General features: G+C 40.7%; 1 protein-coding gene across 3 annotated transcripts in view, besides 1 other annotated feature; it reads left to right on the forward strand.

The window, feature by feature from the left end:
* Window positions 1–21143, forward strand: part of ZYG11B (zyg-11 family member B, cell cycle regulator) — a 100884-nt gene extending 79741 nt beyond the window's left edge. For 2 of the 3 annotated variants that reach the window (NM_001441954.1, NM_024646.3), the window contains 4 exons: window positions 7343–7540; window positions 7667–7719; window positions 10339–10436; window positions 15246–21143. In NM_001441954.1, coding sequence (NP_001428883.1) covers window positions 7343–7540; window positions 7667–7719; window positions 10339–10436; window positions 15246–15436 — 540 coding nt within the window. In that variant the 3' untranslated portion in view covers window positions 15437–21143. Of the gene's footprint in view, window positions 1–1643; window positions 1733–7342; window positions 7541–7666; window positions 7720–10338; window positions 10437–15245 lie in introns of all 3 variants that reach the window. The other variant, NR_199864.1, reaches the window with a different exon arrangement.
* Window positions 8344–8638: an enhancer, noted in NCBI's record as "tiled region #11599; HepG2 Activating DNase matched - State 14:Gen5'". NCBI's record gives its function as "activates a minimal TATA promoter and a strong SV40 promoter by Sharpr-MPRA in HepG2 cells {active_cell/tissue: HepG2}" and the evidence as "EXISTENCE:reporter gene assay evidence [ECO:0000049][PMID:27701403]".
* Window positions 21144–25532: the final 4389 nt, after the last annotated feature.

Genomic DNA, 25532 nt, shown 5'->3' on the forward strand with positions numbered 1-25532 from the left:
TTTTGGTAAATATTCCATGTACACTTGAGAGGAATGTGTATTGTCTTATTATTGGGTATAGTGTTCTATAAATGACAATCAGGTCACTGATTGTTAATTAGCTTGATTAATTAACACTAATTAATAATTAGATTGTACAGTGTCACAGTTGATACTGTACAATTCTACCACATCCTTTCTAATTTTCTGCCTACCTGTTCTATCAATTATTGACAAAGGAGTTTTGAAATCTCTGACTGTAATTGTAGATGTATGTTTCTCCTTACAGTTCTATCAGCTTTTTCTTCATGTATTTTGAAACTGTATTATTAGATGTATAAACATTTAGAATTATGTCCTCCTGTTTAATGGACTCTTTTACCGTTACCAAATGACTTTCTTTACCCCTGCTAATATCCTCTACTTTGAAGTCTGCTTTGATACTGATATAGCCATTTGTACTTTCTTTTGACTAGTGTTAGCATAGCATTTCTTGTTTTATCCTTTTACTTTTAACCTATATTTGTCTTTATATTTAAAATGTATTTCTTGTAGATAGCATATACCTTGCATCCTGCTTTTTCATCTAGTTTGAAAATATCTGTTTTTTATTTGGGGTATTTGGATCATTTACATTTCCTGTGATTTTTAAATTTTTTTAAATAATAAAAATAATAATTGTGTATGTGGAGTACAATGTAATTTTTTTTTTTTGAGACGGAGTCTTGCTCTGTTGCCCAGGCTAGAGTGCAGTGGTGTGATCTCAGCTCGCTGCAACCTCCACCTCCCGGGTTCAAGTGATTCTCCTGCCTCAGCCTCCCCAGTAGCTGGGATTACAGGCGCCTGCCTCTGTGTCCGGCAAATTTTTGTATTTTTAGTAGAGATGGGGTTTTGCCATGTTGGCCAGGGTGGTCTCAAACTCCTGACCTCATGATCTGCCCGCCTCAGCCTCCCAAAGTGCTGGGATTACAGACTCACGTGAGCCACCGCGCCCGGCCTTTTTTTTTTAAGTAGAGACTGGGTTTCACCATGTTGTCCAGGCTGATCACGAACTTCTGACCTCAAGTGATCCACCAGCCTCGGCCTCCCAAAGTGCTGGGATTACAGGCGTGAGGCACCATCCCAGCCCAATGTGATGTTGTGATGTGTTTAATCACTGTGGAATGATTAAATCAAGCTAATTAACATATCCATGACCTTACATACTTACTGTTTTTTGTAGTGAGAGCATTTAAAATTTACTCTTGGCTGGGTGCAGTGGCTCACACCTATAATCCCTAAATTAATAATAATGTATAGTTCAGAATTGCTAAGAGTACTTTTTTTTTTTTTTTTTTGAGACAGGTTCTCACTCTGTCACCCAGGCTGGAGTACAGTGGCATGATCTCAGCTCACTGCAGCCTCGACCTCCTGGGCTAAAGCAATTCCCCAACCTCAACTTCCTGAGTAGTTGGAATTATAGGCGCACACTACCATGCCCGACTAATTTTTAAATTTTTGTAGAGATGGGTTTTCGCCATGTTGCCCAGGCTGGTCTTGAACTCCTGAACTCAAGTGATCCACCCACCTTGGCCTCCCAAAGTGTTGGGATTATAGGTGTGCACCACCATAGCCTGGTGTCATTTTTCTTCAACCTAAAAGACATCCTTTAACATTTCTTACAGTGTGGATCTGCTGATGATGAATTCTTCAGCTTTTGTCTGACTGAAAACATCTTTACTTAACCTTTGTTTTTGAAAGATACTTTTACCAGGTATATAATTCTAAATTGACATTGCTTTAAAGATACTGATTAGCTTTTTTCTGACTTGCTTCTTTCTAATGAAAAATCTGATGTCATCATTATCTTTGTACTTATGTATGTACACGTTCTTTTCCTCTGGCTACTTTTAAGATTTAAGATTAGTTGGCCGGACACGGTGGCTCACGCGTGGAATCCCAGCACTTTGGGAGGCCAAGGCGGGTGGATCACCTAAGGTCAGGAGTTCGAGACCAGCCTGGCCAACATGGCGAAACTCCATCTCTTCTCAAAATAACAGAAATTAGCTGGGTGTGGTGGCAGGTGCCTGTAACCCCAGCTACTCGGGAGGCTGAGACAGGAGAATCGCTTGAACCCAGGAGACGGAGGTTGCAGTGAGCCGAGATCACGCCATTGCACTCCAGCCTGGGCAACAAGAGCGAAACTCCATCTCAAAAAAAGAAAAAAAAGATTTAAGATTAGTAACAATTTTGAATATTTGATTATATGTGTCTTGATGTAATTAACTTCATGTTTCCTATATTTGGGATTTATTGAGCTTCTCAGATATATAGGTCTATAGTTTTCATCAAGTTTGGAAAGTTTTTAGCCATTATTTCTTTTTAAAATATTTTTGTACAGATGGGATTTTGCTGTATTGTCCAGGCTGGTCTCAAACTCCTGGCCTCAAGTGATTCTCTCACCTTGCCCTCCCAAAGTGCTGGGCTTACAGGAGTAAGCCACTGTGACCTGCCCATTTCCCTAAAATAAATTTTGCAGCCCTTTTCCCCATATTGGAGTCCTTTGGAGACGCTAATTTGCACATGTTAAGCTGCTTGACATTGTCCCACATGTTACTGATGCTCTTTAATGTTTTTGTTCTTTTGTATTCTGTGTGTTTCAGTTTGGATAGTTTCCCTTGCTATGCCTTCAGTTCAATATTTTTTTTCATCTGCAATATCTAATCTGCTACAATGCCATCTGGTAGATTTTTTCATCTTAGACATTGTCATTTTCATCTCTACAAGTTCAATTTAGGTGTTTTTTGTATCTTCCGTGTTACTACTTTTTGAATATATGAAATAAAATTTTAATAACTCTTTTAATATCCTAATCGGCTAGTTTTATTTAGTATCTGTGTCAGTTCAGGGTCAATTTCAAGTGATTATTCTCCTCATTATGAATTATGTTTTCCTGATACTTGGCATGCTTAGGTTTTAATTTACTTTTTAAAAAATTTATTATGTTTTAAATTGTGGTAAACAACGTAAAATTTACCATCTTAACCATTTTTAAGTGTATTGTTCAGTGGTATTAAATACTTTTATAATGTTGTAGAACCATCACTACCACTCATCTCTGTAACTGTTTTCATCTTGTAAAACTGAACGTCTGTAACCATTAAACAATACTATTCCATTCCCCCATTCTGCAGGCCCTGGTAACCACCATTCTATTTTCTGTCTCTATGATTTTAACTCCTTAACTACTTCATGTAAGTGGAATCATACAGGTGATCCGCTTGCCTCTGCCTCCCAAAGTGCTGGATTACAGGTGTGAGCCACCGCGCCCGGCCACAAATATCTCTTTTAAGACTCTACTTTGAATTTTATGGGGTATAGTTCCAGAAATAGAATTACTGTATCATGATAATTCTATTTTTAAATTTTGAGAAACTACCATACTGTTTACCACAACAGCTCTACTGTTTTACATTCCCACCAACAGTGTCCAAGGGTTCCGATTTCTCCACATTCTCACCGCTTGTTATTTTCCTTTTTTTTTAATAGTAGCCATTCTAATGGGTCTGAGACAGTATCTTGTAGTTTTTGTTTGCATTTCTCTGATGATAAGTGGTGTTGAGTATATTTGTATGGGTTTATTGGCCATTTGTATGTCTTCTTCGGAGAAATATCTATTCAATTCCTTTGCCCATTTTTAAATTGGGTTGTTTGTGTTTTTGTTGTTGTATTTTAGGAGTTCTCTATATATTCTGGATATTAATCCCTTATCAGATATATGTCTTGCAAATGTTTTCTCCCATTCTGCTTGGTAGTTTTTGATTGAATGCCAGACATTGTGAATTTTTACCTTCTTGGTTGCTGAATATTTTTGTTTTTCTATGAATATTCTTGAACTTTGTTCTGGGATGCAGTTAACTTACTTTTAAACATTTTGATCACTTTGATCACTTGCTTTTTATGATTTATTAGGAGGTTCCAGAGCAGTGGTCAGGCTATGGCTAATTATTCTCTGCTACTGAAACAAGACCTTCCTGAGGACTCTACCCAGTGCCTTGTGAATGAAAGGTTTTTCCATACTGGGTGATGAGAATATGTGAGAACATGCACTATTCCTGGCCCTCTGTGAGCACTATGCACTTTTCTCTAACTCTTTAGATGGTTATTTTCCTGCCCTCAGCTTCCTTGTGTTCATTTTATTATCATTACTCTGCTGAATAGAGTGGGACTCTACAGATGGCTGGACTCACTTTATGTGCAAATTCCCTTCTCCCTGGTGTTCTGTCCTGTGAGTTACCTTCATCTCTGTGGACTGTTCACCTCATCTCCTACTCCATTCAGTCTACTGAGCTCTGCTTCAGGTCTGTATCCCTGTGCTACAGCCTGGAAACTTTAAAGGCAATAGCTCACTTTGTTTTCCATCCAGTAAAGGACACTGAGAGTCACTGTCCTTTATTGCTTGTGACCAGTATCTTGAGAACTGTTTTTCCATATTTATTTGGATTTTTTAGTTGTTTCAGGCAGATGTGTAAATCTGTTTTTACTCCACCTTGGCCAGAAGCAGGAGTGCTCATCATTCCTCAATTTAAAAACAAGAAATTGGCTGGGCAGGGTGGCTCACACCTGTAATCCCAACACTTTAGGAGGCCAAGGCGGGCGGATCACCTGAGGTCAGGAGTTCAAGACCAGCCTGGCCAACATGGCGAAACCCTGTATCTACTAAAAATATAAAAATTAGCTGGCCATGGTGGTGGCTGCCTGTAATCCCAACTACTCAGAGGCTGAGGCAGGAGAATCACTTGAATCAAGGAGGCGGAAGTTGCAGTGAGCTGAGATCCTGCCATTGCACTCCAGCCTGAGCGACCGAGCAAGGCTCCGTCTCAAAAAAAAAAAAAAAAAAAGAGAAATTTATCTTTCATATTTACTCACATTTCTCATTCTATTCTTTTCTTACATTTATTATCCTATAGGTGTGCTAGCAATGACTTCTCACTCACGTGTTGTTTACCTAACAAAGTTTTTTATTTTGCTTTGATTTTTTGAATGATAAATTTTTGGTTGGCTATTGAAGTCTAAGTGGACAATTTTTTTCTGTTGAATCTTTGGGTTTATAATTTTTATCACATTTTGCAAAAATTTGGCCATTATTTCTGCAAATACCTTTTTTCATACCCTCTCTAATCTCTGCTTCTTCTATGACTTCAGTTATAAGCATGTTAGACTTCTCGACATTATCCCACAGGTCCCAGAACTCCACTATTGGCTTTTTTCCCCAGTCTGATTTTTTCTTCTGTGCTTTGATTTGGATGGTTTCTATTTCTTTTTGTGTGTGTGAATAGAGACAGGGTCTCCCTATGTTGCCCAGGTTGGTTTTGAACTCCTGGCCTGAAGTGATCCTCCCACCTCAACCTCCTGTGCTGGGATTACAGGTGTAAATCAGCATGCCCTGCCATGGATGCTTTTTATTTCTCTGTTGTTTAGTCCACTGATTGTTTTTCCGGAAGCATCTCATCTGCTGTTAATCTCATCCAATATATTTTGCTTTTCAGATACTTAGTTTTGTTTTTTTTTTAATTTCTATAATTTACATTTAGGTTGGCCAGGCGCGGTGGCGCATGCCTGTAATCCCAGCACTTTGGGAGGCCAAGGCGGGCGGATCACGAGGTCAGGAAATTGAGACCATCCTGGCTAACATGGTGAAACCCCGTCTCTACTAAAAATACAAAAAAATTAGCCAGGCATGGTAGCGGTTGCCTGTAGCCCCAGGTACCCGGGAGGCTGAGGCGGGAGAATGGTGTGAACCTGGGAGGCGGAGCTTGCAGTGAGCTGAGATCGCGCCACTGCACTCCAGCCTGGGCGAGAGCGAGACTCCATCTAAAAAAAAAAAAATTTACATTTAGGTCTTTCTTATGTCTTCATTTTCTCCCTTCATGTTTATGTCTGAATTATATTTATAATATTTATAATAGCTGCTTTAAGTCCTTGTCTGCTAATTCTATTATCTCTGTTATTTTTTAGTCCATTTCTTTGGATTGATTTTTCTCCTGGTTATGAATCATATTTTTCTGCCCCTTTGTATGCCTGGTAATTTTTTTATTGGATGCCGGTCCTTGTGAAATGTAACTTGGTGATTGCTAGGTTTTATTATTTTTCTCTAAAGAGTCTTATACTTTGTTCTTGCATGCAGTTACTTGCAGATCAAGTTGCTCTTCTTGAAGCTTGTTTATGTGTTATTTTATTTTATTTTATTTTTATTATTATTTCTTTGTGAGACGGAGTCTCGCTCTGTTGCCCAGGCTGGAGTGCAGTGATACGATTTCCACTCACTGCAGCCTCCACCTCCCAGGTTCAAGCAATTCTCCTGCCTCAGCCTCCCGAGTAGCTGGGATTACAGGCACATGACACCACGCCCAGCTAATTTTTCTATTTTTTTAGTAGAGATGGGGTTTCTCCATGTTGGCCAGGCTGGTCTCGAACTCCTGACCTCAGGTGATCTGCCTGCCTCAGCCTCCCAAAGTGATGGGATTACAGGCATGAACCACCATGCTTGGCTGTTTTGGGTTTGTTTGTTTGTTTGTTTGTTTGTTTGTTTTGAGATGGCATCTCACTCTGTCTCCCAGGCTGGAGTGCAGTGGTGGGATCTCAGCTCACTGTAACCTCTGCCTCCCGGGTTTAGGTGACTCTCGTGCCTCAGCCTCCCAAGTAGCTGAGATTACAGGCATGCACCACCACACCTGGCTAATTTTTGTGTATTTAGTAGAGACGGGCTTTCTCCATGTTGGCCAGGCTTGTCTTAAACTCCCAACCTCTCAGGTATGAGCCACCACACCCAGCCCTATTTATTTGTTTTGTTAGAGTGGCGTCTTATCAGACTTTACCCTACGGTTCATATATAATTTAGCCCTACTACTATCAAATACTTTGCTTATTATAAGGTCTCTTGAGTCTGGCTAGTGGAAATGTGAACTACTCCTATCCCTGTGTGACTTTAGGATTTATTCATATACTACTTTCTGGTAGTTCTTTCCCTAGCCTCCTGGAGTTTCACCCTTGTCATTACTGAGCCAGAGATTTGGGGTACAGGTCATGTGTGCTCTGTCTCTGAGTGTGGAGCTTTGTCCTTTCCAGCACTCTGTTCTACAGAGTTTTGCTGCTTGACCACCCTAAACTATGATCTCTGTTTCAACAAAACTGCTACTTTGTCTTTGGCTTACTCTTACCTTCATTGCAGTCTGTAAACTGCCCTCATTTGAATACTTTCTCTCAGGGAAATACTTTTCTTTCACCTTCCTGAATTGCCTGTTATCCAGGGCCTAAAAACAGTTATCTTAACCATTTACTATACATATTACATTAATTTTTATATTTTCTTTTTTTTTTCCAGAACAATATAGCTGAAGTACAAGAATTACATTCTGAATTAATGTGGAAAGATTTTATAGACCACATCAGTAGTCTCCTACACAGTGTGGAAGTGGAAGTCAGTTACTTTGCAGCTGGAATTATTGCCCATTTAATATCCAGAGGTGAACAAGCTTGGACATTGAGTCGTAGCCAGAGGAATTCTCTGCTGGATGATTTGGTAGGGTCATTCCATACCAACAAAAGACATTCATAGTGGTTAAACTATCAAAGCCTCATAATGTAGTAAATAATGCAGTGCTAAATAAATATTGTAATCCTTTCTTGTGTGTCTTTTGTCTTCCAGCATTCAGCTATTTTGAAATGGCCAACTCCAGAGTGTGAGATGGTAGCATACAGGTAATTAGTATCATAATTAACAGTAAACCAGCAACCTAGTCTAGAGATCATTCCTAAGAGTCATTCCTACTAGATGCATAATTTTTCCCTCAGGCACCTCAATATTGGTTATTTATTTATTTATTTTGAGACAGAGTTTCACTCCGTCGCCATGGCTGGAGTGCAGTGCATGATCTTGGCTCACTGCAACCTCCACCTCCCAGGTTGAAGCAATTCCCCTGCCTCAGCCTCCCGAGTAGCTGGGATTATAGGCGCCCACGACCACGCCCCGCTAATTTTTGTATTTTTAGTAGAGACGAGGTTTCACCATGTTGGCCAGGCTGGTCTTGAACTCCTGACCTCAGGTGATCTGCCTGCCTGGGCCCCCCTAAGTGCTGGGATTACAGGCGTGAGCCACCACACCCAGCCAAAAGTATTGGCTTTAAAAGAAGCAAAGTATTTTGACTTTTTTCTACCACCTATCACTCTTCATGTTTCCTTCATTTCACATTTGTTGAAGACAAGTGCTAGGAATTTGTTCTATGCTCTTGAAATACAAAAATGAACAAAGACATGGTGTCTGCACACAAGAATTTTATATCCTTGTGAGGGAGAGTGAATGTGGATCAGATAAAATACCGTTATGCCAAATGTCCATAGAATGTTATGAAATTAAAGGTGAAGCCCAGTGGGGTAGCACATACCTGTAGTCCTGGGAGGATCACTTGAGCCCAGGAGTTTGAGGCTGCAGTGAGTTATGATTGCATCACTGCATTCCAGCCTGAGTGACAGAGCAAGACTCCAAATGTAAATACACACACACACACACACACACACACACCTTTCAGAGGAAGTGAGTTGTGACCTGAGTGTTGAAAGATAAGGAGAGGCAGGAGATTTTTAGGAAGAAAAAGCATCGTATTAATGTAGGAAGGTCTAAAATAAAATGACACATTGAAGGAATTAGAAGTAGCACCAGATTTGGGCCAGGCATTGTGGCTCATGCCTATAATCCCAGCACTTTGGGAGGCTGAGGTGGGTGGATCACTTCAATCCAGGAGTTCGAGACCAGCTTGGCCAACATGTTGAAACCCCTGTCTCTACTGAAAGAACAAAGTTAGTGGGGCATGGTGGTGCACACCTGTAATTCCAGCTACTTGGGAGGCTGAGGCATGAGAATCGCTTGAACTTGGGAGGTGGAGGTTGCAGTGAGCTGAGATGGCGCCACTGCACTGCAGCCTGGGTGACAGAATGAGACTCTCAAAAAAGGAATAACACTAGATTTGGTTGGGGAAACAGTTTGTAATAATTTATTAAAGGGCATACTGGGCCTGGCATGGTGGCTCACACCTATAATCCCAACACTTTGAGAGACTGAGGTGGTAGTATCACTTGAGTTCAGGAGTTGCAGACTAGCCTAGGCATCATAGTGAGACCTCATCTCTACTAAAAAATAAAAAAACCTGGGCATGATGGCATACACCTGTAGTCCCACCACTTCGGAAGGCCAAGGCAGGTAGATCACTTGAGCTCAGCCTGAGCAACATAGTGAGACCCCGTCTCTACAAAAAATAAAAAATTAGCCAGTTGTGGTGGCACATCCCTGTAGTCCAAGCTGCTTGGGAGGCTAAGGTGGGAGAATCGCTTGAGCCTGGAAGGTTGAGGCTGCAATGAGTTGAGATCGCCTTACTGCACTCCAGCCTGAGCAACAGAGTGAGACCCTGTCTCAAATAAATAAATAAATGTAAAAATAAATAAATAGGCCGGGCATGGTGGCTCATGCCTGTAATCCCAGCACTTTGGGAGGCCGAGGCGGGCAGATCACGAGGTCAGGAGATCGAGACTATCCTGGCTAACGTGGTGAAACCCCGTCTCTACTAAAAATACAAAAAAATTAGCCGGGCGTGGTGGCAGGCGCCTGTAGTCCCAGCTACTTGGGAGGCTGAGGCAGGAGAATGCCGTGAACCCAGGAGGCGGAGGTTGCAGTGAGCTGAGATCGCGCCACTGCACTCCAGCCTGGGCGACAGAGCGAGACTCCGTATCAAAATAAATAAATAAATAAATAACAAAAATTAAGAAGTGCATACTGGATGCCTAACTCTGTTTGTAATTAGATAACTTGATAATTAAATTACTAATTACCTGAAGTATTTAATTTTTATTCAACTTATTTTTTTTGTTTGGTTCATAAATGCTGATGTTGCCAACATTTTTTTTATTTCTCCAACTTATGTTCCACCTATTTTTATTCAGACCAGTAGAAAATAGAAGGGATAATTATACATCTTTTTCATAGTGTTCTACTAGTTAGTTATCACCTAATTTCTCTATTTCTTAGTTTCCAAACCAAGATCTACTTATCTTCAAATGTGTATCTTTAAGACTAAAAAGTGCTTTTGGAAAAATTTTTTCTCTTTCACTACCATGTTCTAATCACCTTCCATCTTCTGTACTGAGTCATGTCTGAATGCAGTCTTCTCTGAAATGGTTAAGACAAAGAAATGATATTCTATAGCTCATTTATATTAGTCTAAATATAATAGGATAAAATTTTGAAAATGAAAAGTTTAGGAATCACTGCTTTAGGAAATTACGCTAAATATGGGATGTAACTTTGATTCTTTTCTTTTGAACCTTTAGGTCCTTTAATCCATTTTTCCCATTACTTGGCTGTTTCACAACACCAGGAGTTCAGCTATGGGCAGTTTGGGCCATGCAACATGTCTGCAGCAAGAATCGTATGTACCAAAAAAAAAGAACTGTGTTTTTTTTCTTTAAGTGAAATTCTCATTTCCCAGGAAAGATATTTCTAAATTGTGTATTAAAGTGATTTTTAAGAACACTGACTTAAAATGTAAGGCCATCTTAGGTTATAAACTTAAGGTATTCTTTTTTTTTTTTTTTTTTTTTTTTTGAGACGAAGTCTCGCTCTTGTTCCCCAGGCTGGAGTACAGTGGCGCGATCTCGGCTCACTGGAACCTCCGCCTCCTGGGTTCAAGCGATTCTCCTGCCTCAGCCTCCCGAGTAGCTGAGATATCAGGCACCTGCCACCATGCCCGGCTAATTTTTGTATTATTATTATTTTTTTTTAGTAGAGACGGGGTTTCACCATGTTGGCCAGGCTGGTCTCAAACTCCTGACCTCAGGTGATCCGCCCGCCTAAGCCTCCCAAAGTGCTGGGATTACAGGCATAAGCCACTGTGCCCGGCCAACTTAAGGTATTCTTTCAGAATGAGCATGGTGTAACTAGACACTGAATAATAGTGGTGAATGAGACACTGTTCTCACCTCAAGGAATTTAAAGATTAGGAGACTACAGTGAGTCCATTTGTTGAGTAAAAGGTCTTAAGTAGATCCACTGTTTATGGTACATTCCGGTGCCCAATTCTCATTCACCCAAAATTCTGTTGTTCAAGATGTCGCTGCCAGCACCCATGGTTTCTGAAGAAGCAAAGTGTTTGAATCAGGTTCTATATTATTCTTTGAAAGCTACGATGTAACTCTTATTTATTTATTTAGAGACAAGGTCTGTCTCTATCACTGGAGCTGGAGTGCAGTGGCATAGTAACAGCTCACTGCAACCTTGACGTCCAGGCTCAGATGATCCTCCTGCCTCAGCTTGTAGCTAGGACTACAAGTGCACGTCACCATACCTGGCTTTTTTTTGTATTTTTTGTAGAGATGGGGTTTCATCATGTTGGCCAGGCTGGTGTCAAACTCCTAGGCTCGAACGATCTGCCTGCCTCTTCCTCCCAAAGTGCTGGCATTACAGGCGTCAGCCATCAAGCGTGGCCTAATTATTTATTAATATAAACTCATTCCACAAATGATTTGACACAAGAAATACACAGAACCACTTTAATAGTAAAGTGTGTATATATATGTGTATATATATATATATATATATATATATATATATATATATTTTTTTTTTTTTTTTTTTTTTTTTTTTTTTTTTTTTTTTGAGATGGAGTCTCACTTTGTCACCCAGGCTGGAGTGCAGTGGTGCGATCTCGGCTCACCACACCCTCCACCTCCCAGGTTCAAGCGATTCTCTTGCCTCAACCTCCAGAGTAGCTGGGACTATAGGCCTGCACCACCACACCTGGCTAATTTTCGTATTTTTAGTAGAGACAGGGTTTCACCATTTTGGCTGGGCTGATCTTGAACCCCTGACCTCAGGTGATCCACCGACCTCGGCCTCCCAAAGTGCTGGGCTTACAGGTGTGAGCCACTGTGCCTGGCCTACTTTTAGTTTTAATTAGAAGTAAGGAAAAATAATTTTTCAAAAATTATAGGGGCCGGGCATAATGGCTCATCCCTATAATCCCAGCATTTTCTGAAGTTGAGGTGAGTGGATCGCTTGAGCCCGGGAGTTTGAGACCAGCCTGGGCAACATGGCGAAACCTAGTTTCTATAAAAGATGTAAAAGAAATTAGCCAGGTGTTGTGGTGTGCTCCTGTAGTCCCAGCTACTTGGGAGGCTGAGGTGGCAGCATCATCTGAGCCCAGAAAGCAAGGCTGCAGTGAGCTGTGATGGCACCATGCACTCTGGCCTGGGTGACAGAGTGAGACTCTGTCTCAAAAAGAAAAAAAAAAATTCTAGGATAGAGGGAAAATAGTCAAATGTAGACTTGTAGGCCATGCATAGGGATTTTTGTGGCTCTGCTGCAAGTAAAAAGCGACATGGTTCTCCATATAAGAGGGAAACATTCCATATCCTTGTCAGGGGAGATGGGGAGGGGAGAGAATTTTTTATGAGAAGTTAACTATGAATTAAATTTCTTCTATTGGACCTTAATAGGGGACATACTATAAAGGGCCTTATATAGGATATGTGAGAGTTGTTTTTACTAATATCCTTATAGCAGAAGTAGTAACATTTAGTGAGATTTTCGCTTGGGTTTTTTTTTTTTTTTTGGAGACGGAGTCTCACTCTGTTGCCCAGGCTGGAGTGCAGTGACACGATCTCAGCTCACCACAACCTACACCTCCCAGATTCAAGCATTTCTCCTACCTCAGCCTCCCGAGTAACTGGGACTACAGGAACACGCCACCATGCCCAGCTAATTTTTGTATTTTTAGTAGAGGCTGGGTTTCACAATTTTGGCCAGACTGGTCTCGAACTCACCCGCCTTGGCCTCTCAAAGTGCTGGGATTACAGGCATGAGCCACCGCACCCAGCTCCTTCTCTTGTATTGTTTGATGAAAACTCACTGCATACCACAAAAAGGCAATGCAGTAAAAGCTCTTCTGTGTCAGATAAAGAAGAATAATTCAATGAATGGGATGTGACCGAGAAAACTGCCTTGTACCCACCTGAACTCCCACCTGGAGGCTTATCCGGTCCTTCCTACTACATTACCCAGAAGCAGAGTTGTTCACTCATAAATCGAAAACTGCCTCTTTAGCTACATTAAACTGTCTCTGCCCTAAAGTCGTTTTCTTTTTACTGTACCCACAGGTTCTGAGGACTCCCAAATTTCTTAACAGTTGATCCCATCATATTCCCAGTCTCTAATCTATAGGTTCCTTTCCTCATAACTCAAGGAATGGACCTTTCACAGCTCAGTAGGAGAAAATAAAACATAATAAGTAAATAATAGTGCATTTTTGGCTGGGCATGGTGGCTCACGCCTGTATTCCCAGCACTTTCGGAGGCCAAGGCGGGTGGATCACGAAGTCAGGAGATCGAGACCATCCTGGCTAACATGGTGAAACCCCATCTCTACTAAAAATACAAAAAATTAGCTGTGGGTTGTGGCACACATCTGTACTCTCAGCTACTAGGGAGGCTGAGGCAGGAAAATCACTTGAACTGGGAGGTGGAGGTTACAGTGAGCCGAGATCGCACCACTGCACTTCAGCCTGGGCGACAGAGTGAGACTCTGTCTGAAAAAAAAATAATAATAATAATAATAATAGTGCATTTTCATATGAGTATTTATTTTTGTCACTACTTTTAGGTATTAGAGTTATTTAGGTTTTACTCTATGGAATGACAGCCCTGAATAATTTATTTTATTTTATTTTATTTTTTTTTTGAGACGGAGTCTTGCTGTCGTCCAGGCTAGAGTGCAGTGGCATGATCTCGGCTCACTGCAAGCTCCGCCTCCCACTTCACGCCATTCTCCTGCCTCAGCCTTCCAAGTAGCTGGGACTATAGGCGCCTGCCACCACGCCTGGCTAATTTTTTTGTATTTTTAGTAGAGACGGGGTTTCACCACGTTAGCCAGGATGGTCTCGATCTCCTGACCTCGTTATCTGCTCGCCTCGGCCTCCCAAACTGCTGGGATTACAGGTGTGAGCCACCACGCCCAGCCCCTGAATAATTTATTCTAAAATGCACTGTAATTTGGGGAATATTAGAATATTTTGTCTCCAACTCAGATAGTTTAGGTTCCTACCTTGTGGGCTTATTTTGTTTATATTTAAATGGAATTCACTTCTATTTGTATTAAAATGTTTTAATGTGGCTGGGTGTGGTGGCTCACACCTGTAACCCCAGCACTTTGGGAGGCTGAGGCAGGCAGATCACTTAAGGTCAGGAGTTTGAGACTGGACTGGCCAGCGTGGTAAAACCCCACCTCTACCAAAAATACAAAAATTTAGCCAGGTGTGGTGGCTGGTGCCTATAGTCCCAGCTACCCAGGAGACTGAGGAAGGAGAATTGCTTGAACCCGGGAGGCAGAGGTTGCAGTGAGCCAAAATTGTGCCATTGGACTCCAGCCTGGGCAACACAGCAAGCTGCAGTGAGCCATGATCACACCACTGGGCATGAGCCATGATCACCCCAGCCTGGGCAACAGAATGAGACTGTCTTTAAAAAAAAAAAAAAAAAAAAAAAGGCTAATAAAATATTTCAAAAATTTAAAAATTGTATGTGCAGTATGAGTGCCATTAAGTTTTTAAAAAGCATAGTAAATGCAGCCTGGCATTATGGCTCATGCCTGTAATTCTAGTACTTTGGGAGGCTGAGGCGGGAGGATTGCTTGAGGGCAGGAGTTTGAGACCAGCCTAGGCAACATGGTAAAACCCCATCTCTACTAAAAATAAAAAAATTAGCCAGGGGTGGTGGCATGTGCCTGTATTTCCAGGCTGAGGCACAAGAATCGCTTGAACCCAGGAGGCGGAGGCTGCAGTGAGTCGAGATTGCGCCACTGTACTCTGGCCTGGGCAACAGGGCAAGACTCTGTCTAAAAAAAAAAAAAAAGCATAGGAAATGCATAAAAATATAACAACACTTACCTGTGATTTTGGGTCAAAGATAAGGTAGTTATGATTGTTTTTATTTTTTTAATACAGGTTGTACATGTCTTGAGGTTAGAAAAATCAAGCTAGCTATTTATTGATTGAATGTGTAGGCCTTGCACTGTAGACGTAACATCAGTATAGAGGTTATTTATCAAGCTGTAGCATGTTAGTGATCAATAACAAAACAGCTAAAAAAAAATGGCTCCTAGAAGTCATTTTTTTGTGGAATAATTTTCAAGTGTTTTAAGAAAAGCTATTTCTCCTGTTTTGTGTGTGTTTTTTTTTCTTTTTCAGCTTCAAGGTATTGCAGCATGCTGATTGAAGAAGGAGGATTGCAGCATTTATACAACATCAAAGATCATGAACATACTGATCCCCATGTCCAACAGATTGCTGTGGCCATTCTGGATAGCTTAGAAAAACACATTGTGCGCCATGGGAGGCCACCTCCCTGTAAAAAACAGCCCCAAGCCAGACTAAATTGATAGCCATAAGTATTGGATAGTTGAATCACAGGAATCCTTTTTGTGATTGGTCCATTTGGAATATCTTACCCTCCCTGATGTTTTGGGGGTTTCTATGACAAGAGTCATAAAATCAGTTTGGGATTGATAATGTGTAGTACTGCCCATGTGAACAGTCTCTAATTTGTCTTGTGATTTTAAACTTATGAGTCAAGAAGGGTCTCTTCCTTTATCATTGCCTTTTAGGAAATTTTCCACATCTTTCAGTGTTTGAACTTACTTGTGCTTGAGATTCTACAGTTTTATGGTAAAGTTTGCACGAACCCTTAGGCCAGACTTTTCTGATCTCAGAGTCCCTTCCAATCAATTTGCAGCTTCACATAAGCTGTTGACCTGATTTCTGACACTGCTTCAGTTGTAAATTTTATACTGCTTCTGTATAAAATGCCTTTCTTCTCTATCTGTGTATATTTTATAAGATGTCCTTCTTAGTGTGAAAGAAGGGAAATGTGGATCATCTTGTGGAAGCTAATCACTGGCAGGAGCCTGGATGGCTGGCGGAAAGATATATGAGAAAGAAAAATTATGAAGGTAGAACAGAGTGTAGGAACTGGGAATTGGTTTCATGGTATAGGTTTTAAAATGAGACAGGCTACCCTTCGGGAGTCCACCTCTCTTGAGGCGGTGAGCAGAAGCTTGTCCTCCATATTTATACCTAGAAGTGTGGACTGCTGGTTCCTGCACAGACTGCCGGTTATTCACTAGGAATATTTCCCCAAGCACCACAGTATAAAATACTACAGCACTCTGTGTTAAAGACTAACTGTCTACATCTCCATATGTTGTAGTGTTGTGAAAATGTGATTTTAAAAAATTATCGCCAGTTAAAACTGGCTATTCTTTTCCTCTATTTCAAAGTCATTTTTGTTCAGTGGAATAGAGACAGCAACATGGTGTTAACCTCTCAATTAAAATACAATTGACACCAGTAAATTTTGCCATAAAAAGTTAAAATCTCTTGTTCAAAATATGTGTATCTTCTTAATGTGTTCATGTTAGAGAAAGTGTCCCCATCTCACTGCCAAAAATGAAAGAAAATAATTAAACTCTTTAAATGATTAAATGTAATGATTCTACTCGCAGTGCATAACAGCACATATTTTTGACAGATTATTTTTTAGGCAATTACCTTTCCTTAAGGTATCTGATACAGTATAGTAAAGAATCACTTATATCAGTAATAGCACTTGAGAGATAGCAAGTCACCAAGAAACTTAATTTTCATTTAAAATTTTATTTTGTGAATAAGGTCAATCTACAATCCCAGATAACTACATTTTTTTTCATAGATGGCCAGTGTTTTCAACAGAGATTTAAAATGGAATATTAAAATTATAGTGATTATTCAGAAGCATTTTAATTTAGAAAGGAGCTGGTTTGTTAGTTCACTGATGACATTTTTTGACAAACATTTTATACCATTATCACAATAATCAGACTTGAATTTTTTTTGGAGTTCCTTCATGTGAATGAAAACTGAGTTAAAAGAAAGTAGGCATTTAGGTCTGGATGCAGTGGCTCATGCTTGTAATCCCAGCACTTTGGGAAGCTGAAGCAGGAGGATTGCTTGAGCCCAGAAGTTCAAGACTAGCCTGGGCAACATAGTGAGACTCGGTCTCTACCAAAAAAAAAAATTTTTTTTTTTTAAATTAGCTGGGTGTGGTGGCACCTGGGAAACAGAGCGAGACGCTGACTCAAATAAATATCTAAATAGATATTTAGAATCACTGAAAACCATATTAAATGCTGGGTTAATGCTGACTTAATTGGCTTAAGGAATTTTTATAGGCGTAAGATAAATTTTCACAGACTAAGTTTATTTCAGACAAAATAGAGAATTCTTTTAAAAGTTTTTTTTTTTTTTTTCCTTTTTCGAATGTTAATGTCTAAGACAAAGTTCAGAAAACGAGATGGCCTGTGGTAGTTTGGAAATTGCTAGATATGTTGACCGTTTCCAGGTCTTTTATCTAGTGTAGTTAAGGGAAAGCCTATTTAAGAAGTTTGGCTTCAAGTTTCTGTTTTATAAGACAAAAGTGCATATTTCTTTACAGGCTAATGCTAGGTTTTTGTCTTTACAAATTATTTTCAGAAATGGCTAAAAGTGTACAGAAAACAGTAAATCCCTTCTTTACTCAGAATAACTTCTTAATAGTTGAAGCATCCAAAATATGTAAAAGCAAGGGTGGGCGTAGTGGCTCTTGCCTGTAATCCCAGCATTCTGGGAGGCCGAGGCGGGCAGATCACTTGAGATCAGGAGTTCGAGACCACCCTGGCCAACGTGGTGAAACCCCGTCTCTACTAAAAATACAAAAACTAGCTGGGCATGGTGGCTTTTTTGCACGCCTATAGTCCCAGCTACTCGGGAGGCTGAGGCACGAGAATCACTTGAACCCAGGAAGTGGAGGTTGCAGTGAGCTAAGATCGTGCCACTGCACTCCAGCCTGGACAACGGAGTGAGACTCTGGGGAAAAAAAAAATTAAACTTCCTACTTTTTTTCTTTTTGTAGAGACAGAGTTTCACTCTGTCGCCCAAGCTGGAGTGCAGTGGCACAATCATACCTCACTGCAGCCTCTTGGGCTTATGTGATCTTACCCCCTCAGCCTCTGGAGTAGCTGGAACTACAGGCTAAATTTCCTACTTTGTAAACATCAGTAGTGGCCAGATACTTCTGAGTCTTAAAAGCATAATAGGCCGGGCGCGGTGGCTCACGCCTGTAATCCCAGCACTTTGGGAGGCCGAGGTGGGTGGATCACAAGGTCAGGAGTTCAAGACCAGCCTGGCCCAAATGGTGAAACCCTGTCTCTACTAAATATACAAAAATTAGCTGGGTGTGGTGGCGGGCACCTGTAATCCCAGCTACTCAGGAGGCTGAGGCAGGAGAATCGCTTGAACCTGGGAGGTGGAGGTTGTGGTGAGCCAATATCATGCCACTGCACTCCAGCCTGGGTGACAGAGTAAGACTCCGTCTCAAAAAAAAAAAAAGCATAATAATTTATTACATCCCAAATATATAAAAATTTGAGTGCCTTTGCAGTTGGGATGGTTCCTAAAATTGCGTATAGAATTAAGGCACAGAATTGTGTGTAAGGTCCTGAATCTGGCTAAAATACAGTGGATGTATGTATTGGAATTATGAGGCATAAGTAGCCAGTATCTATAGTTAGAATCTACAAGGCCTCCTTTTTGCACCTGTAGACTAGAATATAACTGTTATTGGTGCCTTTGAGTGTTATCTCTCAGTGGCTAGAGGTGCTGTTTCAAGCACAATTTAGACTAGGGTTGAACCACTCATTGTTCAAATCATTGGTGGGCTCCAATGTAAAATATCACTACATCAGTCCACAAGCAACATTAAGGAAATCTAAAGGAAATGGAATTTGACTTTTTAGAGTATAATGATGTTCTAGGGCATAATGAGGAAAATTTTTAAAAAATAGATTATAATGATACATATTGGTATCATTAAGACAACAGATTTGAGCAAATACAATTAAGGTGTCTTATTTTTTGCATCAAGTAATTATTGCTGTGGTCTTTCTACTCCACAAAATAATTTTTTCTTTTTGCAGTTGAAAATTAACTGCATTATTAACTAATTAATAAAATAAATCAAGTGGTATAAGGGATTAGTTTACCCTCAAGCCGATGACTCCATGGCTACTGATATTAGTTAGTTTAGGATTTTTAAAAAGCATATCAGACCCCCAGTTTCAGGAATTGAGTATAAATATTGCTTCTTGTCACCCTGGGACAGTAATGCCTTATAGTGGCACTAGTCACCTTAAGTAGATTACACATGGTTGAGGTGAATAAAGCTGCATGGGAATTTGCTTTCGTGATATATTTCATTTGCAAACTTCTACATAATCAAGTTTTATGTTTAAAACCATCGGTTCTATATATCTAGCTTTAGGAAGTTGCCCTTACAGGTGGGACCTTTTGTGTTAATCTGTTTTCTCCCCAGTCATCTTATTTGGCTATGTTAAAAAAAAAAAAAAAAAAAAAGCGAGAGAGAGAGATGGTGTCTCACTGTGTTGCCCAGGCTGGTCTCGAACTCCTGGCCTCAAGTGACTTTCCCACCTCAGCTTCCCAAAGTGCTGGAATCACAGGCATGAGCCACAGTGCCTGGTCTTAGCTGTGTTTTTAATTATGCCATGCATCAACATAACACCGGGCCATCTTCCTATCCCTTCCTATCCCATATGTTTAATGAAAACATATTTTATGTGCTAAATTAGGTTAATTTACCAGAGATTTAGCTTAGTGTTTTTAAACTATAGAACAATACCCCTATAGAACAATGTACAGCTGCACCCAAGGTTAAAAAGAGGTAGCAGGGAAAACAAACTTAAACTCTTTGTATATGGTGAAACCCATCCCTCTCCTGCCCTCTAATGGTATGTTTACATTATTTCGTTATTATACAATGTAGTGGTATAAACAGTATTATTAAACTGAAGGCATAAGTTAAAGGAAGTATGTTACTTTGAGCTGATGTAGGCTCTTCCACTTTTATCTGTATTTTACTTATTTGGGGACTTTGTATTGCTAGGGCTTCAGAATACTAACTTTGACACAGCTCCCAGAGAGGTTTGCAAACTTTTGGTTTCCCTCTCAAATCCATGGTAGTAGTTTCAAATGAGTTTGTGGATAATGGATGTTTAGTCCTTATCATTTGCTGTGTTTTGACAGTTTTTAATTTGCAGTATTCACTCACGAACTGTTTTATTTTAGGAATAATGCAAAACCAACCTTCGTCCGGTGATGAGAATAGCCGTATGATAAGAGAATTTGCTCATCGTGCTTTAAATGATTAACTGTTTTACCTTATTTAGTATTTCATAGACTTTGCATGATATGGTACACTCCTAATTATGCATTCTTTGGTTTCCAAATCTTAATCTAAGATACTTTGTTAACTGACTGGTAGCCTAAGAAAGAGACTTTTCTTCCTGTTTTTCTCTCTCCCCATTTTTTGGGGTAAGTTTTGCAAAGATCAGTGCTGCTTCTCATGACTCTAAAGTAAAGCTCTTTTGGATAGCACAGCCTAACTTTACAGCTAGACAGAATGGCCATTAAGAATATTTCCAAAATCCAAGTTTATCAAAATTATTTTGTGGGAAATCATCAATCTATTTTATTAATGTTATGTGTTTAATTTTGGACTTATTTTGGGAAAAACTGTTCAAATTGGGTCCTTTTAAGCTTATTTTAAGCAGCCTAGAAGGAAGAAGCTACTTAGCTAATGAAAGCTGAGACACTTTATTAAAAGCAGGATCTTAAGAGCATTGTTTTTCCTTAAAAACTTTATACTCTCAGATAATCTGCAACAACAAAAATTAAGAAATCCCTGACTTTTGTAGAATTCCCACTGTCAAATTCTCACTGACTTATGAGTGTGAGAGAAGTTATCTTTTGTTTGAATTCTGATAGAACAGTTTAACTCCTTTCTAAGGATATAAAAAATTCATTGGAAAGTGTGTATATTTCAAAGACTCTCAATTATCTGGACTGAAGGCACTGTTCTCACTATGGCCAGATGAATGGGAGTATTCTGTACATGAATCATGCTGTATTTTAAATCAGGACATCACTTAAGTATTAATGTTGTGTGTACAGATTTTTGTTTTGGGATTTTTTTTGCCTAAATAAATGTTATAAATTTTATGTAAAGTGTGTCTTGTCTACTTTTATTCTAGACATTTGGCTTTAAAAGTTAATATTAATGCAAACTTCAAATTCCTTAGTGATCCACTTGTAATGATTGCTTTCTGAAAAAGGCTACTTTTACTGGAGAAGTTTTTATTTTTATTTTATTTTTTGAGACAGGGTCTTACTCTGTCACTCAGGCTGGAGTGCAATGGCATGATCGTGGTGCATGCCACCACACTAGGCTAATTTTTTAATTTTTTGTAGAGACAGGGGTCTCCCTATGTTGCTCAGGCTGGTCTGGAACTCTTGTCCTCAAACTATCCTCGCTTCAGCCTCCTAAAGTGCTGGAATTATAGGTGTGAGCCACCACGCCCAGCCTGCAGACATTTTTAATACTGGAACATCATCCATTTCCTTTTTTTTTCCCCCCACTCAGCGTTGGCCTTGAACATTCATTTCCTTAAATACCTATGCTAAGTACTATTTAAGAGTTGTAACTTATATAACTTATAAATACTTCAGGGAACTTAAATTTACTGGAGAAGAGTAAATATTAAATAAACAGATAAATATTGCATAACAGTATATTAAAGACCAGTCCTCAATACTTGTAGAGAGAGACCACACCTAATCCAGACTGGACACCCATTAGACAGTCCAAGAAGACTTCCCGGAGAGAAGATTTGAGTTAACATTCACACAAAGATTGAGATAATTAACTGGCATAACATATATTGTTTAAGTGCACTTAGTGAGGGGGGATCCTAAAAACTGAAGTATTATATTCTTATATTAATATAAGGACTCCATGGCTGGGAAGAATCCTTAGTGATTTTAGTTTCAGAACCTTCATTTTACAGTTAAAGAAAATAGGTGTGGCTGGGCGTGATGGCTGACACCCTGTAATCCCAGCACTTTGAGAGGCTGAGGTGGGAGGATTGCTTGAGCCCAGGAGTTTGAGACCAGCGTGGGCAACAAAGACCTCATCTTTACAAAAAATAAATAAATTAGTCCTACAGAGTATTCGGGAGCTGAGGTAGGAGGATTGTTTGAGCCTGGGAGGTCAAGTACTCCAGCCTGGGTGACAGAACTAAACCCTGTCTTAAAAAAAAAAAATAAAAAAAAGTAAAATGTGTTTGTTGAAGTCACATAGCAAGTCAGTGACAGACTGCACTACAATGCTTTTTTTGTTTTTTTTTGTTTTTTTTTTAGATGGAGTCTCACTCTGTCACCCAGGCTGGAGTGCAGTGGCACAATCTCAGCTCACTGCAACCTCTGCCTCCGAAGGTTCAAGTGATTCTGCCTCATCCTCCCCAGTAGCTGAGATTACAGGCATGCAGCACCATACCTGGCTAACTTTTGTATATTTGGTAGAGACAGGGCTTCACCATGTCGGCCAGGCTGGTCTTGGACTCCTGACCTCAGGTGATCTACCTGCCTTGGCCTCCCAAAGTGCTGGGATTACAGGCGTGAGCCACCAAGCCCCGCCTGCACTACAATTATTTCCAAATTCTCAATATGGTGGGTTTTCCTCTCCATGTCCCACCACATTGGTGCACAATAATATGAAATTTTTTAGATTTGGGGTAATATGTGATTAAGCATCAAATGAATGGTACAGAAAAGAACATGCTCCAAGGAGGAAAGGGGATTGACTGTTCTTGAGGATGGTGTTAGAGGGCAGTGTTAGTGTGTAAATACTATAGAGCTGGCCAGGCACGGCAGCCCATGCCTGTAATCCCGAGGCAGGTGGATCACCTGAGGTCAGGAGTTGGAGACCAGCTGGCCAACATGGTGAAACCCCATCTCTGCTAAAAATACAAAAATTAGGCCGGGCGCGGTGGCTCACGCCTGTAATCCCAGCACTCTGGGAGGCCAAGGCTGGTGGATGATGAGATCAGGAGTTCAAGACCAGCCTGACCAACATAGTGAAACCCTGTCTCTACTAAAAATAACAAAAATTAGCCCAGCGTGGTGGTGTGCGCCTATAATCCCAGCTACTCGGGATGCTGAGGCAAGAGAATCGCTTGAACCAAGAGGCGGAGGTTGCAGTGAGCCAAGATCATGCCACTGCACTCCATCCTGGGCGACAGAGCGAGACTCCATCCCAAAATAAAAAATAAATAAATAAAAAATGAAAATACAAAATTAGCACGTGGTGGCTCCCATCTGTAATCCCAGCTACTGGGGATTCTGAGGCAGGGGAATCGCTTGAACCTGGGAGAGGAGGTTGGCAATGAGCGGAGATCACGCCACTGCTCTCCAGTCTGGGCTACAGAGTGAGACTGCATCTCAAAAAATAAATGCATGCTTTAGAGCTGTTAATGAATGGTCACTACAAATACTACTGCTTCACCAATAAAAATGAGATTAGATGTGTTAGGGTGATTGTCAAGTTTGTTTTGTTTTGAGATGGAGTCTCACTCTGTCGCCCAGGCTGGAGTGCAGTAGCGCAATCTTGGCTCACTGCGACCTCCTCCTCCTAGATTCCAGCGATTCTCCTGCCTCAGCCTCCCGAGTAGCTGGGACTACAGGTGTGCACCACCATGCCTGGCTAATTTTTCTATTTTATTTATTTATTTTGTTTTGAGACAGAGTTTTGCTCTTGTCACCTAGGCTGGAGTGCAGTGGCACCATCTCAGCTCTCTGCAACCTCCGCCTCCGAGGTTCAGGGGATTCTCCTGCCTCAGCCTCCCGAGTAGCTGGGATTACAGGTGTGAGCCACCACGCCCAGGTAATTTTTGTATTTTTATCAGAGACGGGTTTTGCCATATTGGCCAGGCTGGTCTCGAACTCCTGACCTCATGATCCGCCTGCCTCAGCCTCCCAAAGTGCAGGGATTACAGGCGTGAGCCACTGCACCTGGCCTAGCATAACTTTCACAGATAATTTAAAGTCTGTTGTGTAATGATAGCCTTTAAAGTAGAATTTGCTGTAGAGCCTATTATGAGGGAGACATTTCTAATTATTGCCTCTTTTATTCTAAACCATGGAAAAAGGACCTAACAAATGATGTCCTGGTAGAAGAGTGAAGGCCTCCTGGCAGTGTTCGCTTTAATCCATGATGTGGGTTAAGAGGAGTTTTGACTGATTATGAATGAGGCAATGTATGTACCACTAAAGTTTGTTACCTACACTGGGCCTTCATCTTTTATGTATTAAAGTATAAGGTTATTCACGTATAAGGCTGTCTGCAAAAATCCTTCACAAATAAAAGTATACCCTAAAAGTGCACATAACAGACCCTCTTTTCATTTCTATTATTCATAGAAGCATAAGCAAGGAAAAAATATTCAAAAATAAGAGTCTCGTGATAGTAGAAGTCTTGATCTGTGATCCTGGGAAAAGCTGTTCACATCAAGGATGCCATCTTCTTCTGGGGAGAAACGTTTCTAGTCGGTTTTACCTTAAGGGTTCCAGTGGGTGTACTGTTCCAGGAATGTGGAGGGACCCTTTTCAGTTGTGAGATTATGAACCCAAGGTTCAAGGCTCCAGAGTTTTGCTGTAGTGTGGACGACAAGGACAATCTTTCTCTGATGTTCTCAGAAGATCCAATCTTCTAGGCCAGGCACGGTGGTTCATGCCTGTAATCCCATCACTTTGGGAGGTTGAGGTGGGCAGATCGCCTGAGGTCAGAAGTTCAAGACCAGCCTGACCAACATGGAGAAATCCTGTCTCTACTAAAAATACAAAATTAGTTGGGCGTGGTGGCGCATGCCTGCAATATCAGCTACTCAGGAGGCTGAGGCAGGAGAATCGCTTGAACCCGGGAGGCACAGGTTGCGGGTGAGCCGAGATCGCACCATTGCACTCCAGCGTGGGCAACAAAAGCGAAACTCTGTCTCAAAAAAAAAAGAAGAAAAAAAGAGATTCAATCTTCTGTAATCCCAGCACTTTGGGAGGCCGAAGCAGATGGATCACCTGAAGTCAGGAGTTCAAGACCAGCCTGGCCAATATGGTGAAACCCCATCTCTACTAAAAATACAAAAATTAGCCGGGTGTGGTGGCTCACACCTGTAATCCCAGCTACTTGGGAGGCTGAGGTAGGAGAATCGCTTGAACCTGGGAGGCGAGGTTGCAGTGAGCCAAGATGGTGCCATTGCACTCCAGCCTGGGCGACAAGAGTGAAACTCCATCTCAAAAAAAAAAATATATATATATAAAAGAATATCCAATCTCCGGGTTCTAGATTGTGAAGGGATTGTCCTTAGTGACCCATAAAAAGCTTTCTTTACCTGGTGAAAATACACTGTAGCATAATCTACTATTATAATATCAGCCTCATGCATGTGAAAGTTTTTATACAACCAGAAAACATGCATTGAAAATGACAATACAATGAAATCCTTTTATAAATGTTTAGCCCATCAGGTAGGCAAATACACTTGAAGTTTTGATTGTCTT

Source organism: Homo sapiens, chromosome 1 (assembly GCF_000001405.40).
Source record: "Homo sapiens chromosome 1, GRCh38.p14 Primary Assembly".
NCBI lineage: Eukaryota > Metazoa > Chordata > Mammalia > Primates > Hominidae > Homo > Homo sapiens.